Raw genomic sequence first — 21,786 nt, 5'->3', positions numbered from 1 at the left:
AATAATTAGCTGGGAGTGGTGGTGGGCGCCTATAATCCCAGCTACTCAGGAGGCCGAGGCAGGAGAATTGCTTGAACCTGGGAGGCAGAGGTTGCAGTAAGCCGAGATCACACCACTGCACTCCAGCCTGGGCAACAGAACAAGACTCCGTCTCAAAAAACAAACAAACAAAAAAGAATTTTAAATGAAATGACAGCTTGTAAGGCAGGCTGTGTGCTAAAGAGGTTATCCCATACTGGCAACTCTAGGGCTGGCTTCATATTCAGTGAGGCTGCCAATAACCAAACCCCAACAGAAATAATAGACTCAGTTCCAAAGGGAGATACTTCGCGAGTCTCAACATACACAAGTGAGTTCCAACAGCCAGGTAGCCGAATCTGGCAGCAGTTACATAGTCAAGGCCTCAAACAGGCTTTGAGAAACAGTATGCATGTGAGCTCACGGAGAACTAACACTCAACCAGACTGGCTTCCTGCTCTGCATGTGGGTCTGTAATCTCAGCAGGACTGGGCCCACGGTAACTCACTCCATGGACTAACCTCATGCTTCTTTAACAGCCTCTTCTCCAACTTCTTGTTACATTTGCAGGTCACCTAGAGTAAGAAGTGAGAATCAGTAAATTGGCTTTGGGACAATATGCTCATTTGCTATTGCACAATAGCAAACAGAATACATTTACGAACAACAGCAAGTATAACACATGTATAAACATTTGAGTACTTGGTGGCTCACCTGACAGTGTTCTGCAGCCATGTGAGTCTCCATGTCAGATTTGGGAAATGGTTCCTTACAGGTAGGACACATACCAATGTTCCTTTGACAGTGGATCTCATGGATGGTAAAGTTAAACACAGGAATTTCTTTTTTGCTACGGAAATAGACCAAAGAAAAAGGCAAGCATTACTGACTAATCTATGCCTTTTCTTGCACAGTGGCATCACATGGAAATCTGTCCTGTCCAATCTTTAGTCTCCATTATTTATCTTTAGTGAATACCTAGCCTACAAACTCATGACTATTACCATTCCTGCTTTTCAAGAACTAAATCCTGGCCAGGCGCGGTGGCTCATGCCTGTAATCTCAGCACTTTGGGAAGCCGAGGCAGGCGGATCACCTGAGGTCAGGCGTTCGAGACCAACCTGGCCAACATGGTGAAACCCCATCTCTACTAAAAATATAAAAATTAGCCAGGCGTGATGGCGGGCACCTGTAATCCCAGCTACTCGGGAGGCTGAGGCAGGAGAATCGCTTGAACCCAGGAGGCAGAGGTTGCTATAAAAAAAAAAAAAAAAAACTGGCCGGGCGCCGTGGCTCACGCCTGTAATCCCAGCACTTTGAGAGGCTGAGGCGGGCAGATCACCTGAGGTCAGGAGTTCGAGATCAGCCTGGCCAACATGGTGAAACCCCGTCTCTACTAAAAATACAAAATTAGCCAGGTGTGGCGGCACATGCCTGTAATCTCAGCTACTCAGGAGGCTGAGGCAGGAGAATCGCTTGAACCCGGGAGGCGGAAGATGCAGTGAGCCTAGATCGTGCCATTGCACTCCAGCCTGGGCAACAAGAGCAAAACTCTGTCTCAAAAAAAAAAAAAAAAAAAAAAAAAATTAAATCCTTTCCAGGTGCAGTAACGCCAGCACATTGGGAGGCTGAGGCAAGCAGATCACTTGAAGTTAGGAGTTCAAGACCAGCCTAGCCAACATGGTGAAACCCCGCTTCTACCAAAAATATAAAAAATTAACCAGGTGTGGTGGCGGGTACCTGTAATCCCAATTACTCGGGAGGCTGAGGCAGGAGAATCACTTGAACCCGGGAGGCAGAGGTTGCAGAAAGCTGAGATCATGCCACTGCACTCCAGCCTCGGGGATAGCAAGATTCCGTATCAAAAAAAAAAAAAAAAAGAACTAAATCCTGAAGGCTCTTCTGTGCAACATTCTGAGTTACCGGTGCTATGCACTACTACATCTAAAAGCTCAGCCTTACTTTCTCAAAGTCAGAGCTGATCACAACATGAAGTCAGATGCCAAAAAGAGTGGAGCTAGGCTATTCCAAAACCATCCATGTCCCAAAGCAGAGTGATACGCTCCAGGATTATTTTAAAACAGAAAACAAACCAAAACAACAACAAAAACAAGTGAAAAAACACCCTACCACTGATTTTCTCTCACTTTTAAGTAGTTTAATTTCATTGGATTTTATTCCATGAAAAGTCAAACCAAAAAGAGAAGACTCCAGCTTTTGGACAGTCAAAGGGGAAGGGGAAATTGTCTCCTGTATGCCTCACATGCCTTTCGAAGCAGGCTGGATGCTTCCTGACTACAGGAACATGCTCTCTGGCTGGGTTGGTAGAAACTTCACTGTAAAGCTGTACAAAAATGAAATCCTGAACCCTTTCCTCCACCAGTCTGGTCTCTCCACTTCATTTTTGCCTTTCTCACTTAGTTTAGTGGTTCAAAGATCATATCTAAGCTATACAAATTAAGGAGGTAAAGTGATAATGTTACATGAAAGAGTAAGACCATTTAAACATGAAAAGATTATACATGTACTCGAACTAAAGGTACATTCTATTCAAAGGCCTTACTTTTACTTATTTGGATAGGACCATTGTAAAATTCCAATTTCACCAGCTAAAAACTACATTAAAGAAGGTACGTATAACAATAATTCAGAAAAATAAAATACTGAACAGGATCAATACAGATAGTCATAAAACACATTATTTAATACCATATTTTGCCTCTGAAGCTGAATACTAGAAGAACTGTCTCCCATACTAAATTATAAATAGCTTATTTCTCTTTTAATAACCTTTAATATTCAGACATTGTCTAAGAAACATTTTGAAGTAGGATAAATGATGTGCCTCCAGCTATAGTCATTCTTCCAAACTGAAAGACCAAGACACCAAGGAAGTGCAAATTCATTTTCATCCAGTGGTGGAATTATCAAGCTAGGGACCCCAAGGCAGCTCTCAAAGCAGCACTGGAAGGTGACAGAACAATCAACTGTGAGAGATGGGAAGAAAACTCAAATGGATAAAGAGGAAAATTACTGACAGATTTAACTTCCCATATTTCTCTCAAATTTTTAGCTTTCTAAGGAAACTACTCATTTTGAATTAATTTAGTTAAAATAATACATCCCAACTTTTTAAAGATGTTGTGAAATGAATACTTTAATACATTACTGGTGGTAGTATAAACTGCCTAAAAACAGTCTGAAAATTCATTTCTAGGACCATAAAATTATATACTCTGTAACACAATAATCCTACTCTTGGGATTATGTATGAATATTTTCATTACAGTATCATAGAATGGTAAAAAATGAAAGTCATTAAAAATACCTAAGCAAGAAAGGAATAGCTAAGTTACATATAGTATACCAACAAAGTGAAAGAAGAAATGTTATATTGTGATTGTAAATCATGTATGTACAAATGCCATGAAAATTAAAGCCAGTAATTACTGCTTAGGGTGTAGAAAACCTGGGTTCCTTTTTCATAATATTGGCAATAATTTTTATTTTAATGGTAAATATGGAGACACTAAATGTCTAGCATTTACTTTACAAGGCTGTTCAGGATAACTTGTTGACATACTACATACACAAGGCCCCTAAAACTTTAGAATTAAAACAAAAAATATTAAGGACCACACCATCATAATATGAAGCAACAAGAATCAAAAGCAGCTGTCAAGTAAGACCACAAAGCATTTACTATTGCACATATTCACCTCTTAGGAAATGCTGAAATAAAAAAGATATTTGCAACAATTATATAAAACAGTTGCCTGCTGGGTTTTTTTCTTTTAAAATTTAACTGCCAACATATTCCTACCAAACATTCCAACCAGACCAAATACTAATATGCTTACTTCCTACCTTCGGAGAAAATGAAGATGTTTTAAGTGAGATAAATGAGCACACAATTCCGTATCCAGATAAAACTGCTAAAAGTCTCAAGGAAGGGCTAGCAAATTAGAGGTGAAATTTCATTTAGATAGAAATAGCTGAAAGGCAAACCAAAGCTTCCAGAAAAATTCCCAAGAACTTTCCAAACACTAAACACAAACAGCCAGAAATTAATTCTTTACAGGTTTAGTCAGCCTTCTATGCTAATCTGCTTTTTTCTTTAATTTCTTTGGCTTTGAATAGCATTGTTTTTCACTAGCTTTCCATTAACTCACCCTTTAACTCTCTTAGCATAGTTATTTATATTTTGTCCTAGGCTTGAGATTCCTCCTAATTGGAGTGGACTGATAAAATAGGTGTATCTTAACTAATGCTAAAAACCAATGTGTCTCTTTTCTTACAAAATCATGTTTTCTTTTGATTATTTGTTTCTGATTACTCTGTTTCAGTAGCTATACATATAAAACCCAAACAAAACTAAAATAGTTTATGAAATGGTAGAAAGTGATAGTGGCATAGCAGAAATACTCTACAATATGGCAAGACACCTACAATGAGATGAAATCTTAATTCCAAGCAGGTAAAGAATATTGTAACCAGCTGTTGCTCTAATTATATTCTAATTCTGCCAAAGTTAGGCTGAGAAGAAAGAAAAAGACAACGATGATGACAAAAATGTTATTTGGCTCAAATATTCCACCAATGAGTTAAACTATTTTCCTTATTCCACATCTCTTTCTACCACAGTTTGCTAAGGTAAACATAGCACATTGTGAAAGAAGTACCCAGTGAAGGAAAATAAAGTAATAAACATAGCAGACAGTTCTGCTTTGCTTTTTTTGTCAGCTTACAGTAACAGCACTTGTATAGCACCAAGATACCAAGATAAGTTCTTAGGAAAACCCCAACAGGAACCAGCTGATTATTAACTTTACAACCGGTTTCATTTCATCAGGAAAGAGATGCTCTTTCTTGTAATTCATGTGGGTTATAAACACCAAAATAGAAAGCTTAACTCAAGACTGTGCCAGTCTTCACTAACAGTTTTTAAATCAGGAAATGATAGTGATTAAGCTTGACTGTCCTCATTCCACTAACATTTCTTAGATTTAATGTCTTACCAGTTGTCACACAGTCGAGTTTCCTGGTCATCTAGAAATTCAGCCATCTTTAGCTCTTCCTGAAAACCACAAAGGAAGACATGAACTTTCTCTTTCATTTCTGCTTTAAAGATGACATGCAAAAAAACAAATAAAAAACTAGTATACAGAAACTGTCACCCAAACCTGCATGTTAAAGCATTTTATTCAATATCCAGTCCCTTGGGATTTTCTTATTTTAAAATTTTCAATTTAAAATAATTTTATTGGATAAGGGAGTTTTAAAAAATAAAAATAATAAAATAAAATACTTTTACTAGGCTGGGTACAGTGGCTCATGCCTGTAATCTCAGTACTTTGGGAGGCCGAGGCAGGCGGATCACTTGAGCCCAGGAGTTTAAGACCAACCTGGCCACAACATGGGGTAACGTCATGTCTACAAAAAATACAAAAAAAAAAAATTACCCAGGCATGGTGATGTGTGCCTGTAGTCCCAGCTACTCGAGAGGCCGAGGCAGGAGGAATGTGCAAGAGGAATGCTTAAGCCTAGGAGTTTAAGGCTGCAGAGAGCCATGATCATGCCACTGCACTCCAGCCTGGGTGACAGAGTGAGACCCTGTCTCAAAAATAATAATAATAATAACATCCTGGCCAGGCGCAGTGGCTCACACCTGTAATCCCAGGACTTAGGGAGGCCGAGGCAGGCAGATCACAAGGTCAGGAGATCGAGACCATCCTAGCCAACATGGTGAAACCCCCATCTCTACTAAAAATACAAAAATTAGCTGGGTGTGGTGGCGCATGCCTGTAATCCCAGCTACTCGCGAGGCTGAGGCAGGAGAATCGCTTCAACCAGGGAGTCAGAAGTTGCAGTGAGCCAAGATCGTGCCACTGCACTCCACCCTAGCGACAGAGTAAGACTCCGTCTCAAAAATAAATAAATAAATAAAAATAAAATAACATCCCTTACAGACTTCATCCAATTACCCTAAAAGCATCATAACAATAGTAAAATTATCAAATAGAGGAAATTAACACTAATACAATACTAGTAACTAATCTATAGAATTCATTCAAATTTCACCAACAAGTCAGGCACAGGGGCTCATGCCTGTACTCCCAGAACTTTGGGAGGCTGAGCTGAAGAGGATCGCTTGAACCCAGGAGTTTAAGATCAGCCTGGGCAACATGGTGAAACCCTTCTCTACAAACAATTTAAAAATTAGCCAGACGTGGTGGCACACACCTGTGGTCCCAACTACTCAGAAGGCTGAGATGGGAAGATCACTTAAGCCCAGGAGGTCAAAGCTGCAGTGAGCAGTGATTGTACCACTGCACCCTAGCCTGGGTGACAGAGTGAGATCCTGTCTCAAAAAAAAAAAAAAAAAAAAAAAAAATCACCATCCCACCCTTTTTCTGGTTCAGCATTCAATCTAGGATCACACACTGCATTTGGCTATTACTTGTAGTTAATCTCCTTTGATTTGGGAGAGTTCTTCAGTCTTTCCTTCTCTTTCATGACCTTGTTAAGCATACTGGCTTTTTTTTTTTTTTTTTTTTTAAACAGAGTCTCACTCTGCTGTCTAGGCTGGAGTGCAGTGGTGCGATCTCGGCTCACTGCGATCTCGGCTCACTGCAACCTCGACCTCAGCCTCCTGAGTAGCTGGGACCACAGGTGTGCACCACCATGCCCAGCTAATTTTTGTATTTTCAGTAGAGATGGAGTTTCACCATGTTGACCAGGCTGGTCTCAAACTCCTGACCTCATATGATCCACCAGCCAGCCTCAGCCTCCCAAAGTGCTGGGATTACAGGCATGAGTCACCGTGCCCAGCCAGCTAGTTATTTTATATAATATCCTTCAATTTGGGTTTGTCTGATATTTTCTCATGATTAAATTCAGGTTATATATTTTTGGCAAGAACACCATAGAAATCATGTTGTGCTCATCTCAGTGCCTTATATCAGAAGGTACATGATGTCAACAGTCTTATTTTACTATTGATGTAAACCATGATCACATAGTTGATATGGTGTCTGCCAAATTTCTTCACTATAAAGTTTCTCCTGCTTTTTAAACAAGATGTCAATGCAGAAAGCAAAGCACTGGCAACTTTACTACCATTGTTTAGTTTAGATTATTCCTTTCCATGATACAAAAATGGTCTTAAATCCTGCCCCCAGTAGGGTTCTTTAAAGGTTTTGGCATTATCAAGCGAGTTGCCACTTTTCAAAACATGTATTTAGTCATTTGTTCAACATGCTTAATTAAGACAATACTTTGAGGCTGGGTCCAGTGGCTCATGCCTGTAATCCCAGCACTTTGGGAGGCTGAGGTGGGCGGATCACTTGAGGTCAGGAGTTCAAGACCAGCCTGGCCAGCATGGCGAAACACCTCTCTACTAAAAATAAAAAAATTAGCCGGGTGCCTGTAGTCCCAGCTACTAGGGAGGCTGAAGCAGAATTGCTTGAACCCGGGAGGTGGAGGTTGCAGTAAGCCAGGATCACACCACTGCACCCCAGCCTGGGCAACAGAGTGAGCCTCTGTCTCAAAAAATAAAAATAAAAAAAAAAAGGACAATACTGTGGGCCAGGTGCAGTGTCTCACACCTGTAATCCCAGCACTCTGGAAGGCTGGGGTGGGTGGATCACTTGAGCTCAGGAGTTCAAGGCCAGCCAGGAAACATAGTAAGACCCTGCCTTTATAAAAAATAAGCAGCCGGGTGCGGTGGTTCATGCCTGTAATCCCAGCACTTTGGGAGGCCGAGACAGGTGGATCACAAGGTCAGGAGATCGAGACCATCCTGCCTAACATGGTGAAACCCAGTCTCTACTAAAAAGAGCTTGCAGTGAGCCGAGATCACGCCACTGCACTCCAGCCTGGGCGACAGAGCGAGACTCCCTCTCAAAAAAAACAAAAAACAAAAAAGCAAAAAATTAGGTGGGTATGGTGGCACATGCCTGTAATCTCAGCTACTTGGGAGGCTGGGGTGGGAGGCTGAGGTAGTCCCAGCTACTTGGGAGGCTTGAGCCCAGGAGGTCGAGGCTACAGTGAGTGAGTTGTGATCACACCACTGCACTCCAGCCGGGGTGACAGAGTGAGACCCTGTCTCAAAGAAAAAGAAGACCATACTGTGTGCCACTGTGCCCTGGCACTAAAAATACTTTACAAAATAAGGAAATATAGTCTCTGATAAAGCGATTTAGTGGTAGAGAAAAACAATAAGCAAAAAAATACATATAACTTGAGTATTGTGATGGAAAAGTATACTGACAAATAAATGGGGGCGGAATAGAGGCAAATCTACTTTAGGTAGATAAGAGTGGTCAGGGAAGAACTTTCTGGGGAGACGACATTTAAATTAAGAACTGAAGTACAAGAGCCAACCACGAAAAGACAAAGATAGAGGATGGGAATGCGGGGAAATCCATCCAGGCAGTGGGAAGGGCAAAAGGCCTAAAAGCAATGAAAGAGAAAGTAAAGGCAGATCTGGAAGAGCATAATAAAAAAGGGGAATGACTCAAGAAGGTCTTGTCATATCAGACAGAAAGAATATTGGATTCGATTCCAAGCTCAATGGTAAACCACTGAAGGGCTTTAAACTAGGGAATGACATAATTCAAGACACCCATTCTGGGCTGGGCGCAGCAGCTCACGCCTGTAATCCCAGCACTTTGGGAGGGCGAGGTGGGCAGATCACTGGAGGTCTGGGGTTCGAGACCAGCCTGGCCAACATGGCAAAACCAAGTCTCTACTAAAAATACAAAAATTAGTTGGGCGTGGTGACGGGCGCTTGTATCCCAGCTACTCAGGAGGCTGAGGCAAGAGAATCACTTAAACCCAGGAGGCGGAGGCTGCAGTGAGCTGAGATCTCGCCACTGCACTCCAACCTGAACAACAGAAGGTGACTCCATCTCAAAAAAAAAAAAAGATATTCACTCTGATATGAAATGGCAACTAAGGAAGGCTGTCCGACTGATTTCAGGTGTGCTCTATTCCAGCCCACTCTGGCCAACTCTAAGGCCAGAGCTCAGATGTAGCAGGTGCTTGCTTTTCTAGATGCAAGGAGACTGGGGGTAGCCTGCAGGGTCCCCCTCTGGGGGTCAAGGTCTGGCTGGTTCTGCCAGATTTAACCTCTCTGGGCCTCAGATTCTTCAGGCAGAGGACTGACAATACTTCAAAGGGTCAAGGAAACGGGCGAATGCACGGAAGAGTTGAGGCACAGAAAAGTCTTCAAGCTTATAAGGAGCCTGTTGGGGGTCAGCTAGATCTCTCTAGTCCGCAGAGGGGACCGTCCCTCTGCCCGAGGCGGCGGAGCTTCCCCTGCCGGGTCCAGATACCCCAAGGCAGTTTCCAATCGCCCCCGTCCCCAGGAAGGTCGGTGATGGGGAGTGAAGAAGTAAGCGGCTTCTCAAATAATAGCAGTTGCCAAACGCTTACCGGGAAAATCTTTTAATCCCGACTACAATCCTAAGAGGTGAAAGTCTTGGTCCCCACTTTAGAGGCTACGAAAGCGGAAGGCCACCTGAGTTTTCCACAGCACCAGCGGGTCGGAGTGCGAGCTCGGACTCGGGTCCTTCGGCTTCGAGGCCGCATTAGGCCACTCGCGACCCCCCACGCCGGCAGCTCGAGGCTCGGACTCTAGGCCCAGGCCGGCACTGAGCCCAGCTCCGCCCGGGACGCGGTGGTCACAGCGGCGCTGCGAACGACGCCCGCTTCCCGGCTCACCAGACCAACCTAGGCCGCGAAGGGGGCGGCGTCGCCGGGGGCTGCCAAGGCGCCGGTTCCCTGAGGAGAAAGCGCGGCCTCCTCCAGGTGCCTGAGATGCCGCCGCGCGGGCATCCTCTCCTCACAGCCGCGACCCCGGGCCCAGAGACCCCTCGCCCACACACCCCTCCCTTGGGATGCTGGACCCTTCCTAAACTGGAGGCCACAGGGGATCTCCAGCCGCGTGCCGCCGCTACACCTCACCAGGGACGAGAGGAGAAACGCTGAGTTGACACACTAGCTGCAGACACGGAGCCTCCTCTGTCAGACCCCGCACTGAACAACGGCCCTCAGAGCTGCCTCACCACTTCCGCCCATCGCGGAGGAGCGCGCCCATTGGCCAGGGGCGGCTCCAGCTGTCGGCCCATTGGATAACACCGTTGTCGCTCCCAGGGCCCCGCCTTCTGCGCGTCGATTGGCTCCCTGGAGGCCCACGGGGGCGTGTCCCTGGAAGCCCTGGCCCCTGCACATCTGGAACCAGAGGCACGAAGCTGAGCTGTGAGCCTGTTGCTGAGTTTAGCAACTGTCCCCGACACAGGCTAATAATATTTGCATGAATAATTCTGTACAAACATTACTAATATGCTTAATATATTGAGATAATTAATGGTATTTGTTCTTTTCTCATGGGCCGTTAATACTTATTAGTCATTCTTATTGCTATGATAATGCCCTTGTGCAAGACTTCTGCAGATCTGTGACCATATTTTTTGAGCACTTTGCTTTTTTGCAGTGGAAGAATGAGAGCCTGAGATGCAGGTTTGAGAGCTAGTTTCTCCACTTGCTGCCTGAATGGATTCCCTGAGCTTCTCTTACCTCATGTATAATAAAGGAGAGAATAATTATATAAGTATAACCAAGCACATATTACAAACCAACTTATAATTATATAAGTATAACCAAGCACATATTACAAACAATACAGCAATTTAAAATTATGATTCCATTGCAGATTATAATTGCAAAATATGGAGGCCAAGGCGGGTGGATCTCTTGAGCTCAGGAATTAGAGACCAGCCTGGGCAATATAATGAAACCATATCTCTACAAAAAAAATACAAAAATTAGCCAGGCGTGGTGGCACGCACCTGTAGTTCCACCTCCTTGGGAGGCTGAGGTGGAAGGATCCCTCGAGCCCAGGAGGCAGGGCTGGAGTGAGCCCTGATCATGCTACCGCACTCCAGCCTGGGGGACAGAGAAAGACCCCGTCTCAAAAATAATATAATATAATATAATATAATATAATATAATATAATATAATATAATTGCAAAATGTTAATGAGATAGTACTAAGCAAGAAAAGCATCTAACAGGCTGGGCGCGGTGGCTCACGCCTGTAATGCCAACACTTTGGGAGGCAGAGGCTGGTGGATCACCTGAGGTCAGGAGTTCAAGACCAGCCTGGCCAACATGGTGAAACACCGTTTCTACTAAAAATACAAAAATTAGCTGGCCGTGGTGGCAGGCGCCTATGATCCCAGCTACTTGGGAGGCTGAGACAGGAGAATCGCTTGAACCCAGGAGGTGAAGGTTGCAGTGAGCCGAGATTGAGCCACTGCACTCCAGCCTGGGCAACAAAATCAAAACTCCGTCTCAAAGCAATATTTATAACAAGATAAAATATTTAGCTTAAATATGCAATATAACTTGTGTGATTCCAAACATATAAAGTTTAAAACCAGGGAAAATTAACCTAAAGTGAGAGAAGTAAGTAACTGGTTCCATTCAGAGGGTATATAGCCTGTAAGGAGATATGAGAAAGATTTTCTAGAAATGTTTATATCTTGATCAGCAAAGTGATTAACACAGATGGATTAATTAGTAAATAGTTATTAAGCTACACACCTATATCTTAAGCACTTTACATTGTATGTTACATTTTAATAACAAAACTTACTGGAGTTCAAAAGAAAGCACAATCATTAACAGTTAAAAAGCAATCAGAAAAAATGTGTATTAATATGAATTAAGTATATTAATGTATTAAGTATATATAAAGAAAAAAGATAACCATATAGTGTGTTCTTTTATGAATAAGGTGTTTTAACTCAGCATAATGTTTTTGAGGTTTATCCATGCTGTTGATAATATCAAGTCTATTCCTTTTCAGTGCCAAGTAGCATAGCACATGGATATGCCACAATTTATACTGACAAACATTAGAGCTGGTTCTAGTTTTTGGCCAGGCATGGTGGCTCACGCCCACAATCCCAGCACTTCGGCAGGTCAAGGTGGGTGGATCGCCTGAGCTCAGGAGTTCCAGACCAGCCTGGGCAACATAACAAAACCCTGTCTCTACAAAAAATACAAAAATGTAGCCAGGCGTGGTGGCTCATGCGTGTAGTCCCAGCTACTTGGGAGGCTAAGGTGAGAAGATTGCTTGAGCCTGGGAGGCAGAGGTTTCAGCGAGCTGATATGGCACCACTGCACTCCAGCCTGGGTGACAGAGCAAGACTCCATCTCAAAAAAAAAAATTGATTCTAGTTTAAGCAGTAGTAACCATTCTTGTGCAAGTCTTTGGGGATATATGTTTTTATTTCTCTCAGATAAACACTTGGAAGTGGGATTGCTGGATCATACGGTAAGTCTATGTTTTAACTTTACAAGAAACTACCAAACTGTTTTCCGAAGTGATTGCACAACTAAACGTTCCCAACAGTAGTGTAGGAGAGTTTCAGTTGCTCCGTATAGTCATCCACTTGGTATAAACACATTTTGAATAAATAAACAGGAGAATGGCAGTCCTGTCTTCCGTTGCCTGAGTGACCCAGAAGCTCCTCTAAATTCATAGTTCACAGTGGGAGGAGACAACAAGGTCCAGGGTAGCAAGGAATGAACTGAAATAATGATAAGCTCAAATTTCACTTAACCCCTGGGGTGCCTTATTTTCACTGGCCTAAATCCAACAGCAGAAATAAAAAAAGTTTAGGGATATTTTATTCCTGACCAAAAAAGGCAGGCAAGGCGGGGTGATTACAGTGGCAGCAGAAAGGATTTAGATTAGGTTAGAGGAAGAGCTGCTTCTTGGTTTACCAGGAGTCACCTGTATGAGAGGATTAGATGGAGTTCCCCCCAACCTCCTTGTACCAGAATCTTTAAAGGGTTTGTTAGAAACTTATTTTTATTTATTTATTTACTTATTTTTTATTTTTCTGAGACAAAGTCTCACTCTCTCGCCCAGGCTGGAGTGCAGTGGCGCGATCTCGGCTCACTGCAACCTCCGCCTGCCGGGTTCAAGCGATTCTCCTGCCTCAGGCTCCCGAGTAGCTGGGACTGTAGGTGCCCACCACCATGCCTGGCTATTTTTTTGTATTTTTAGTAGAGACAGGGTTTCGCCATGTTGGTAAGGCTGGTCTTGAACTCCTGACCTCAAATGATCCTCCCACCTTGGCCTCCCAAAGTGTTAGGATTACAGGCGTGAGCCGCTGCGCCCAGCCGGCTTGTTAGAAATTTGAATGTCTGCTCAAGGTCAACCTCCTCACTATCCCAATTCCCTAGTACCTCAACCTCATCCCTAAAAACTCACTAAATTAACTGAATCTGGATTTCTGGTGTCATGGCCTAAATGGCACTTCTGGGCTCTGGCAGATTTAGCATTCACTGCAGTGGAATTTTGATAAAGCCCAAAGGGAGAGGTGTTGCCCTACCCTTCCCAGCTCAGCCCTACTCAGAGCCCTGCCAGGCTGGGGGAGGGAAATTCCTCTCCTCTAGCCAAAGCTGTCACTACCCAGTCTGAGAAGCCAACATGACTCCTCCATTCCCCAACACGCCCCCATCCCTGTTCTGAACTGTCTTCTACCTCCCGCAGCCTCAGCCCCGCTCAAGGGCTAGGGATCTTCCCTGACAGAATGCAGCTTTTCCTTGTGGTTCTAGTTGCCAACGTGTTCCCTTCCTCCCACTTTTACATCCCAGCAAGCAGCTGCTTAGAGTCACAGATTCCTGGCCCCATGCCTAGCCCGGACACATGGAAGGCACTCAATTTCTACTTGCAGAATTACCTCAAGGTGCTGCTTTACAATAAACTCTTTTTTTTTTTTTTTTTTGAAACAGAATCTTGGCTGGGCGTGGTGGCTCATGCCTGTAATCCCAGCACTTTGGGAAGCTGAGGCTGGTGGATCACCTGAGGTCGGGAGTTCGAGACCAGCCTGACCAACATGGAGAAACCCCAGCTCTACTAAAAATACAAAATAAGCCGGGTGTGGTGGTGCATGCCTGTAATCCCAGCTACTTGGGATGCTGAGGAGGGAGAATCACTTAAACCCGGGAGGCGGTGGTTGCGGTGAGCCGAGATCAAGCCATTGTACTCCAGCCTAGGCAACAAGAGTGAAACTCCATCTCAAAAAAAAAAAGAAGGAAAAAAAGAAACAGAATCTCGCTCTGTCACCCAACCTGGAGTGCAGTGGTATGATCTCGGCTCACTGCAACCTCCACCTCCTGGGTTCAAGCAATTTTCCCGCCTCAGCCTCCCAAGTAGCTGGGATTACAGGCATGTACCACCATGCCCGGCTAATTTTTGTATTTTTAGTACAGATGGGGTTTCACTATGTTGGTCAGGCTGGTCTCGAACTCCTGATCTCAGGTGTTCCACCTCAGCCTCCCAAAGTGCTGGGATTACAGGTGTGAGCCATCTTGCCCAGCCTACAGTAAACATTTAAAGGTGGATTATTTTTTTGTTTTTGGCCAAAACCAAATCTGTTTTCATCAAACTGGGTTTTCATGAAACTGGGTTCCTTTCTACCCTGTAGCATTCCATCCTTTGCACTTCTCTCAGCCCTTCGCCAGCTCCCTCTGTCTTTTGAGGCCCCTTCCTGTTCATCTTCCTGGTACTTTTTTGGGTGCACCAAGAGGCGACTCTGGCAGTAAGTCCCTTGCTCCCTGGCATCCCAACAAGCACCCGATCCCAAATATCTTCTCCCTCTCTGCCCATCTTCTCAGACACCTCTGGTAGGAAACTACTATTATTTTGTTTTGTTTTGTTTTCAATTTGACTGGGGTAGAAGTACACGCCATAAAGTGCATACATCTTAAGTATATTGTGTAAGGACTTTTTAAATAACAGTAACAGTTTTATCAAAGGTATAATTCACATATCAGACAATTCATCCATTTAAAGTGGACCTGGCATGGTAGCTCACACCTGTAATCCCAGCACTTTGGGAGGCTGAGGCAGGAGGATCCCTTGAGCCCAGGAGTTCAAGATCAGCTTGGGCAACACAGGGAGACCTCGTCTCTACTAAAAGTAATAAAAATTAGCTGGGCGTTAGTGTGCGCACCTGTAGTCCCAGGTGCTTGGAAGGCTGAGGTGAGAAGATTAATGGAGCCCAGGAGTTTAAGGCTGCAGTGAGCTATGGTCACACCACTGCACTCCAGCCTGGATAAGAGAGAGAAACTTTTACCTCCAAAAAAAAAAAATTGTTTTTGGCCAGGCGCGATGGCTCATGCCTGTAATCCCAGCACTTTGGGAGGCCAAGGCAGGTGAATCACTTGAGGTCAGGAGTTCGAGACCAGCCTGGCCAACGTGGTGAAACCCCGCCTCTACTAGAAATACAAAAATTAGCTGGGCATTGTGGCGTATGCCTGTAATCCCAGATACAGGGATTTGGGAGGCTGAATTAGCAGAAACGCTTGAGCCTGGGAGGTGGAGGTTGCAGTGAGCAGAGATTGCGCCACTGTACTCCAGCCTGGGTGACAGAGCGAGACTCCGTCTCAAAAGAAAAATTAGCCAGGTGTGGTGGCAGGCACCTGTAATCTCAGCTATTTGGGAGGCAGAGGCAGGAGAATCGCTTGAACCTGGGAGGCAGAGTTTGCCTCCCAGAGTTTGAGACTCTGTCTCAAAAAACAAAAAAAAAAGAAAGAAAAGAAAAAAAGTAGACTTCACAATGATTTTTTAGTATAGTCACAGATTTGTGCAACTATCACTGCAATCTAGTTCCTGGACAATTTTTTTTTTTTTTTGAGATGGAGTCTCATTCTGTCGCCCAGGCTGGAGTGCAGTGGCGCAATCTCGGCTCACTGCAACCTCCGCCTCCCGGGTTCAAGCGATTCTTCTGCCTTAGCCTCCCGAGTAGCTGGGACTACAGGCACCTGCCACCACGCCCAGCTAATTTTTGTATTTTTAGTAGAGACGGGGTTTCATCATATTGGCTAGGCTGGTCTCAAACTCCTGACCTCAAGTGATCCGCCCACCTTGGTCTCCCAAAGTACCAGGATTATGTGAGCCACTGTGCCCGGTGATCCTGGACATTTTTATCATCCCCAAAAGAAACTGTGCCCATTAACAGTTACTTCCCTCATCTCCATGCCCGGACTGACAATCACCCATCAGTTTTCTTTCTTCATAGATTTGCCTATTTGGGACATTCCATATGAATGGAATCATACAATATGGAGACTTTTGTGATGGTTTATTTCACTTAGCATGATGTTTTCAAGGTTCATCCATACTATAGCATTCATCAGTACTTCATTTCTTTCCTTTTCTTTCAATTTTTTTTTTTTTTTCTGAGACAGAGTCTGCCTTGATCACCCAGCCTGGAGTGCAGTGGCGGCACAATCTCGGCTCACTGAAACCTCTGCTTCCCGGGATCAAGGAATTCTCCCACCTCAGCCACCTGAGTAGCTGGAACTACAGGTGCATGCCAGCACACCCAGCTAATTTTTTGTATCTTTTGTAGAGATGGGGTTTCCTCATGCTGCGCAGGCTGGTCTCGAACTCTTGGACTCAAGCAATCTGCCTGCCTTGGCCTCCCAAAATGCTGGGATTACAGGCTTCAGCCACCTTGCCCAGCCAAGAATGCTGTTCTACACAACCGTATACAAATTTTGCATGGATGTATGTTTTCTTTTTTTTTTCTTGAGACAGAGTCTCACTCTGTCACCCAGGCTGGAGTGCAGTGGCGCAATCTCAGCTCACTGCAACCTCCGCCTCCAGGTTCACACCATTCTCCAGCCTCAGTCTCCTGAGTAGCTGCGACTACAGGCGCCTGCCGCCACGCCTGGCTAATTTTTTTGTATTTTTAGTAGAGACAGGGTTTTACTGTGTTAGTCAGGATGGTCTCGATCTCCTGACCTCGTGATCCGCCCATCTCGGCCTCCCAAAGTGCTGGGATTACAGGCGTGAGCCACCGCACCCAGCCCTGCATGGATGTATGTTTTCATTTCTCTAGGAGAAATTTCACCTAGGAGTGGAGTTTTGTATTTGTATATACCCCTGTTACCATCACTCAGATCAAGAAATAGAAAATGCCCGGCCAGGCACGGTGGCTCATGCCTATTAACCCAGCACTCTGGGAGGCCAAGGCCAGCAGCTCACGAGGTCAGGAGTTCGAAACCAGCCTAGCCAACATGCTGAAACCCCGTCTGTACTGAAAATACAAAAATTGGCCGGGCATGGTGGCTCATGCCTGTAGTCTCAGCTACTTGTGACTTTGAGGCCAAAGAATCGCTTGAACCCGCAAGGCAGAGGTTGCAGTGAGCCGAGATTGTACCACTGCACCCCCGTTTGGGCAACAGAGCGAGACTCCATCTCAAAAAAAAAAAAAAAAGAATAGTTTTGCCTGTTCTATTCCGTAGGAACAGATAGAATGATGAAATATATACTATTTTGTGTCAGACTTTTTTCAGGCAATATCTTGAATGTTATATTCACCCATGTCATTGCATATAACCTTAGTTCATTCCTTTTCATTGTCATGTAGTATTCTTAATAAATTGTGAATATCTTCACAACTTCACAATTTATTAGCCCATTCTACAGTTAATGAACATTTGGCTTGTTTCTAGTTTCAGCCAGGTATGAATATTCTTGTTCTTGGTTAGATATGATGTTAATTTCTGTTAGGTATACACCCAGGAGTAGAATTACCGGAATGGGCTATAGAGTTTGCCTTTATTTGGCTTTTGGTTATTAAAAGTTCCAGTCATCCGTGTGTACATAAATATCTCTAGCTCTCATGATTTATTAATATTTATTTAGCCCTGGCTTCTTTTTTTTTTGAGACGGAGTCTTGCTCTGTCACCAGGCTGGAATGCAGTGGTGTGATCTTGGCTCACGGCAACCTCCTCCTCCCAGGTTCAAGTGATTCTCCTGCCTCAGCCTCCCGAATAGCTAGGACTACAGGCGCACGCCACCACGCCCAGCTAATTTTTTTATTTTTAGTAGAGACGGGGTTTCACCATGTTGGCCAGGATGGTCTTGATCTCTTGACCTCGTGGTCTGCCCACCTCGGCCTCCCAAAGTGCTGGGATTACAGGCATGAGCCACCGCACCTGGCCCCTGGCTTTTTTTTTTTTTAATTAAAAAAAAATTTTTTTGAGGCAAGGTCTCACCCAGGCTGGAATACAGTGATACAATCACAGCTCACGGCAGCCTTGACCTCCTGGTCTCAAATGATCCTCACACCTCAGCCTCTTAAAGTGCTGGGATTACAGGTGTAAGCCACTGTACTGGCTCTGGCTTAAAAACCAAAACAATGCAGTCTTTTAATTTCTACCTACAAGTTTTGGAATTCCATCTTTTTTTATTTTTCAGTGGCCCCAGGGTGACTCAGGCACTCACTCATTAGCTGGCCATCTGATTACTCAAAGAGGCTTAGATAATTGACACACTGGGAGGGGAAGTAACCAGGGAATAACAGGGGAGTAACCAGGGAGGGAGCTATTAGGGAAGCAAGAGCAAAGGACAGTGTCTGCCACAGAAGGACATCACGCACTTTTATTTTCTAGATGGAGTTAGGTCTTCCAAGGCGGGCTTTAGACATTCATCTGATTTTATTATTATTATTATTATTGGCACATAGTCACAAGTATATTCATCTCTAACTGGAGAATTATTTGTGAAACTACTGCTAAAAGCCAGTTTCCTAATCAAGGTGCCAGGCCCTGAAACACTCTAGATATGTCCTCAGGCCCTGAAATGTTCACATTATTTCATCAGTTCTGAAGCAAGGAGCAAGAGATGTTGACAGTTATCAAGGAGAAGAGGAAGGGTGAGGGATGTTTGTGTGGGGAAGAGAGCGGTGGGGGGTTGAGCAGGGAGGAAGAGGCTCAGAGCCGCAGCTGATAACTGGGGACTCATACATATTCATGAGGAGGACTGGGATTGGACCAGAGGCCTCAGAGCATGCTGGGACATTTTCCAGGCTGCCTGTTTGCCAGGCAGAGTTCCCAGGGGCCACCGCTGCCTTCCCCGGGCAGCTTCAACCCACAGACACCTGCAGAGACCCTCCTAGTGTCTAGAGGAGGAGAGTTAGGATCACTTTGTTTTAGTCTGATTTCCCAGGAAAAGCCCTCACTCAGTTCTCTCCCCCAACACTGCCTAAGGTGTGAGGCCGGGCACAGTGGCTCACACATATATATAATCCCAGCACTTTGGAAGGCAAAGGTGGGAGGATTGCTTGAGCCCAGGAGTTTAAGACTAGCCTGAGTAACATAGCAAGACCCCTGCCTCTACAAAAAAGTGAAAAAATTAGCTGGGCATTCTGATGTGTGTTTGTAGTCCCAGCTACTCGGGAGACTGAGGGAGGAGGATCGCTTGAGCCCAGGAGTTCAAGGCTGCAGTGAGCTGTGATTGTGTGACTGCACTCCCTCCTGGGTGACAAAGTGAGACCTTGCCTCACAAACAGACCAAATAAATAAATAAAAACATAACCTATGGTTCCATTTACTGGGAGAAAAAATCTTTTCTCCACTGAATTTCACTTGGGCCTTTGTCATAAATCAAGTGACCATATGTATAGAATCTATTTCTGGGCTCTCTGTTCTACACATCTACCTGTTTATCCTTATGCTATTTCTCCACAGTCTTAACGAATGTGGCTTTATTTATTTATTTATTTTGAGAAAGGGTCATAGCCCACTGCAGCCTCAAACTCCTGGCTGGATCAAGCAATCCTCCCGCCTCACACTCCAGAGTAGCTGGGACCACAAGGGTGCACCACCACTTCCAGCTAATTTTTTTAGTTTTGTAGAGATGGGGGTCTTGCTATGTTGCCCAGGCTGGTCTTGAACTCAAGCAATCGTCCTACCTTGGCCTCCCAAAGTACTGGGATTACAGATGTGAGCCATTGCAACTGGCCTTGCCATTTTGGCTATTCTAGGTCATTACTATTTTCATATAAATTTTAGAATTATTTAAAAAATTTCCTGGGTGGTTTTAATTCCTTATCTCATACGCTTTCTCAGGGAACTGGCCACAAAGCAGCACTACCCCCTCAAGGTGACTTCATTCCAAATCAAGGGCCTCATTCTTAGCATCCAGTAGCCCAAATGCAGCTGACAATGTTCTCCCAAGAGTTGAGTAGTTCAGAGGCTGTATAGAGCAAGCCCAGACTCAGATCAGATAATCCAGCCAACTCTGCAGACTCCGGTGTTGACCTGCCCTTGAATAGAGACTAGAGACTGTTCCATGACTAGCCAGAAATGCATATGGAAATTTAATATATGATAATGATGGCATTGGGTGCTTTGTGAAAAAGATGGACTATTCAATAAATAGGGGTTGAGGTCAGGCATGGTGGCTCCCTTGGCTTTGAGAGGCCGAGGTGGGAGGATTGCTTGAAGCCAGGTGTTCAAGAACCTGTCTCTACCAAAAAAAAATATATATATATATAAAATACATTTTATATATATATATATATTTTTTTTTTTTTTGAGATGGAGTCTCACTCTGTCACGCAGGCTGGAGTCAGTGGCGCGATCTCAGCTCACTGCAACCTCCATTTCCAAGGTTCAAGTGATTCTCCTGCCTCTCTTGTAATCTGGGATTACAGGCGCCTGCCACCACGCCCGGCTAATTTTTGTGGTTTTAGTACAGATGGAGTTTCAGCATGTTAGCCAGACTGGTCTTGAACTCCTGACCTCAAGTGATCCGCCCACCCTGGCCTCCCAAATTGTTGGGATTACAGGTGTGACCCACTGCGCCCAGCCTGCGAGCCACCGCACCCGGCAAAAACAAAACAAAACAAAACAAAAATATATACATGTGTATATATATGTATATATATATTCCCTTTATATATTTATACAGCTACTATATATATTTATATGACCACTATAGATAGATAGATACAACTGAAAAAGATAAAATTGAAATCTCACCTTATTTATTTATTCGTTTTGAGACAGAGTATTGCTCTGTTGCCCAGGCTGGAGTGCAGTGGCGAGATCTCAGCTCACTGCAATCTCCGCCTCCTGGGTTCAAGCAATTCTCCTGCCTCAGCCTCCCAAGTAGCTGGGACTACAGGCGCACGCCACCACGCCCAGCTAATTTTTTGTATTTTTAGTAGAGATGGGGTTTCACCAGGTTGCCCAGGCTAGTTGTCATCTCCTGAGCTCAGGCAATCTGCCCACCTCGGCCTCCCAAAGTGCTGGGATTACAGGCATGAGCTACCGCACCTGACATTTATTTATTTATTTATTTATTTATTTATTTAATTTGTTTATTTTGAGAGGGAGTCTTGCTCTGTCGCCCAGGCTGGAGTGCAATGGTGAGATCTCAGCTCACTGCAACTTCCTCCTCCTAGATTCAAGTGATTCTCCTGCCTCAGCCTCCTGAGTAGCTGGGAATACAGGCACGTACCACCTCGCTCGGCTAATTTTTGTATCTTCAGTACAGACTGGGTTTCACCATGTTGGCCAGGCTGGTCTCGAACTCCTGACCTCAAGTGATCTGCCCATCTTGGCCTCCCAAAGTATTGGGATTAGTGTGAACTACCACGCTTGGCCGAAAGACTACCTTATTATTCATATGGAAATAAATACCAAATGGATCAAATATTTACGTGTTAAAAATAAAACCATAGGCTGGGCGCGGTGGCTCACGCCTGTAATCCCAGCACTTTGGGAGGCCGAGGCAGGCGGATCATGAGGTCGGGAGGATCCAGACCATCCTGGCTAACACTGTGAAACCCCGTCCCTACTAAAAATACAAAAAATTAGCCGGGCGTGGTGGCGGGCGCCTGTAGTCTCAACTACTCGAGAACCTGGGAGGCGGAGCTTGCAGTG

At 44.6% G+C, this 21,786-nt stretch overlaps 1 protein-coding gene across 2 annotated transcripts in view, besides 5 other annotated features; it reads right to left on the bottom strand.

Moving 5' to 3' along the window:
• TRAFD1 (TRAF-type zinc finger domain containing 1) overlaps positions 1-10,046 on the bottom strand; it is a 28,045-nt gene extending 17,999 nt beyond the window's left edge. Inside the window, exons 1-4 of one of the 2 annotated variants that reach the window (NM_001143906.2) lie at positions 9,457-10,046; positions 5,037-5,095; positions 733-868; positions 540-593 (exon numbers count right to left, since the gene is read on the bottom strand). In NM_001143906.2, the coding sequence (NP_001137378.1) occupies positions 540-593; positions 733-868; positions 5,037-5,083 (237 nt within the window). In that variant the 5' untranslated portion in view covers positions 5,084-5,095; positions 9,457-10,046. The remainder of the gene's footprint in view (positions 1-539; positions 594-732; positions 869-5,036; positions 5,096-9,456) is intronic. The other variant, NM_006700.3, reaches the window with a different exon arrangement.
• Positions 4,843-4,892: an enhancer, noted in NCBI's record as "active region_7046". NCBI's record gives its function as "activates an Ori minimal core promoter by ATAC-STARR-seq in GM12878 lymphoblastoid cells {active_cell/tissue: GM12878}" and the evidence as "EXISTENCE:reporter gene assay evidence [ECO:0000049][PMID:35858748]".
• Positions 9,520-9,589: an enhancer, noted in NCBI's record as "active region_7045". NCBI's record gives its function as "activates an Ori minimal core promoter by ATAC-STARR-seq in GM12878 lymphoblastoid cells {active_cell/tissue: GM12878}" and the evidence as "EXISTENCE:reporter gene assay evidence [ECO:0000049][PMID:35858748]".
• Positions 10,000-10,049: an enhancer, noted in NCBI's record as "active region_7044". NCBI's record gives its function as "activates an Ori minimal core promoter by ATAC-STARR-seq in GM12878 lymphoblastoid cells {active_cell/tissue: GM12878}" and the evidence as "EXISTENCE:reporter gene assay evidence [ECO:0000049][PMID:35858748]".
• Positions 10,000-10,321: a biological region, named in NCBI's record as "Sharpr-MPRA regulatory region 5940".
• Positions 10,027-10,321: an enhancer, noted in NCBI's record as "tiled region #5940; HepG2 Activating DNase unmatched - State 1:Tss, and K562 Activating DNase unmatched - State 1:Tss". NCBI's record gives its function as "activates a minimal TATA promoter and a strong SV40 promoter by Sharpr-MPRA in HepG2 and K562 cells {active_cell/tissue: HepG2 | K562}" and the evidence as "EXISTENCE:reporter gene assay evidence [ECO:0000049][PMID:27701403]".

The sequence above is a fragment of the Homo sapiens genome, chromosome 12 (genome assembly GCF_000001405.40).
Source record: "Homo sapiens chromosome 12, GRCh38.p14 Primary Assembly".
NCBI classification, from domain to species: domain Eukaryota; kingdom Metazoa; phylum Chordata; class Mammalia; order Primates; family Hominidae; genus Homo; species Homo sapiens.
The sequence above is the reverse complement of the archived record's forward strand: the minus strand, read 5'-3'. Positions and strand labels throughout refer to the sequence as shown.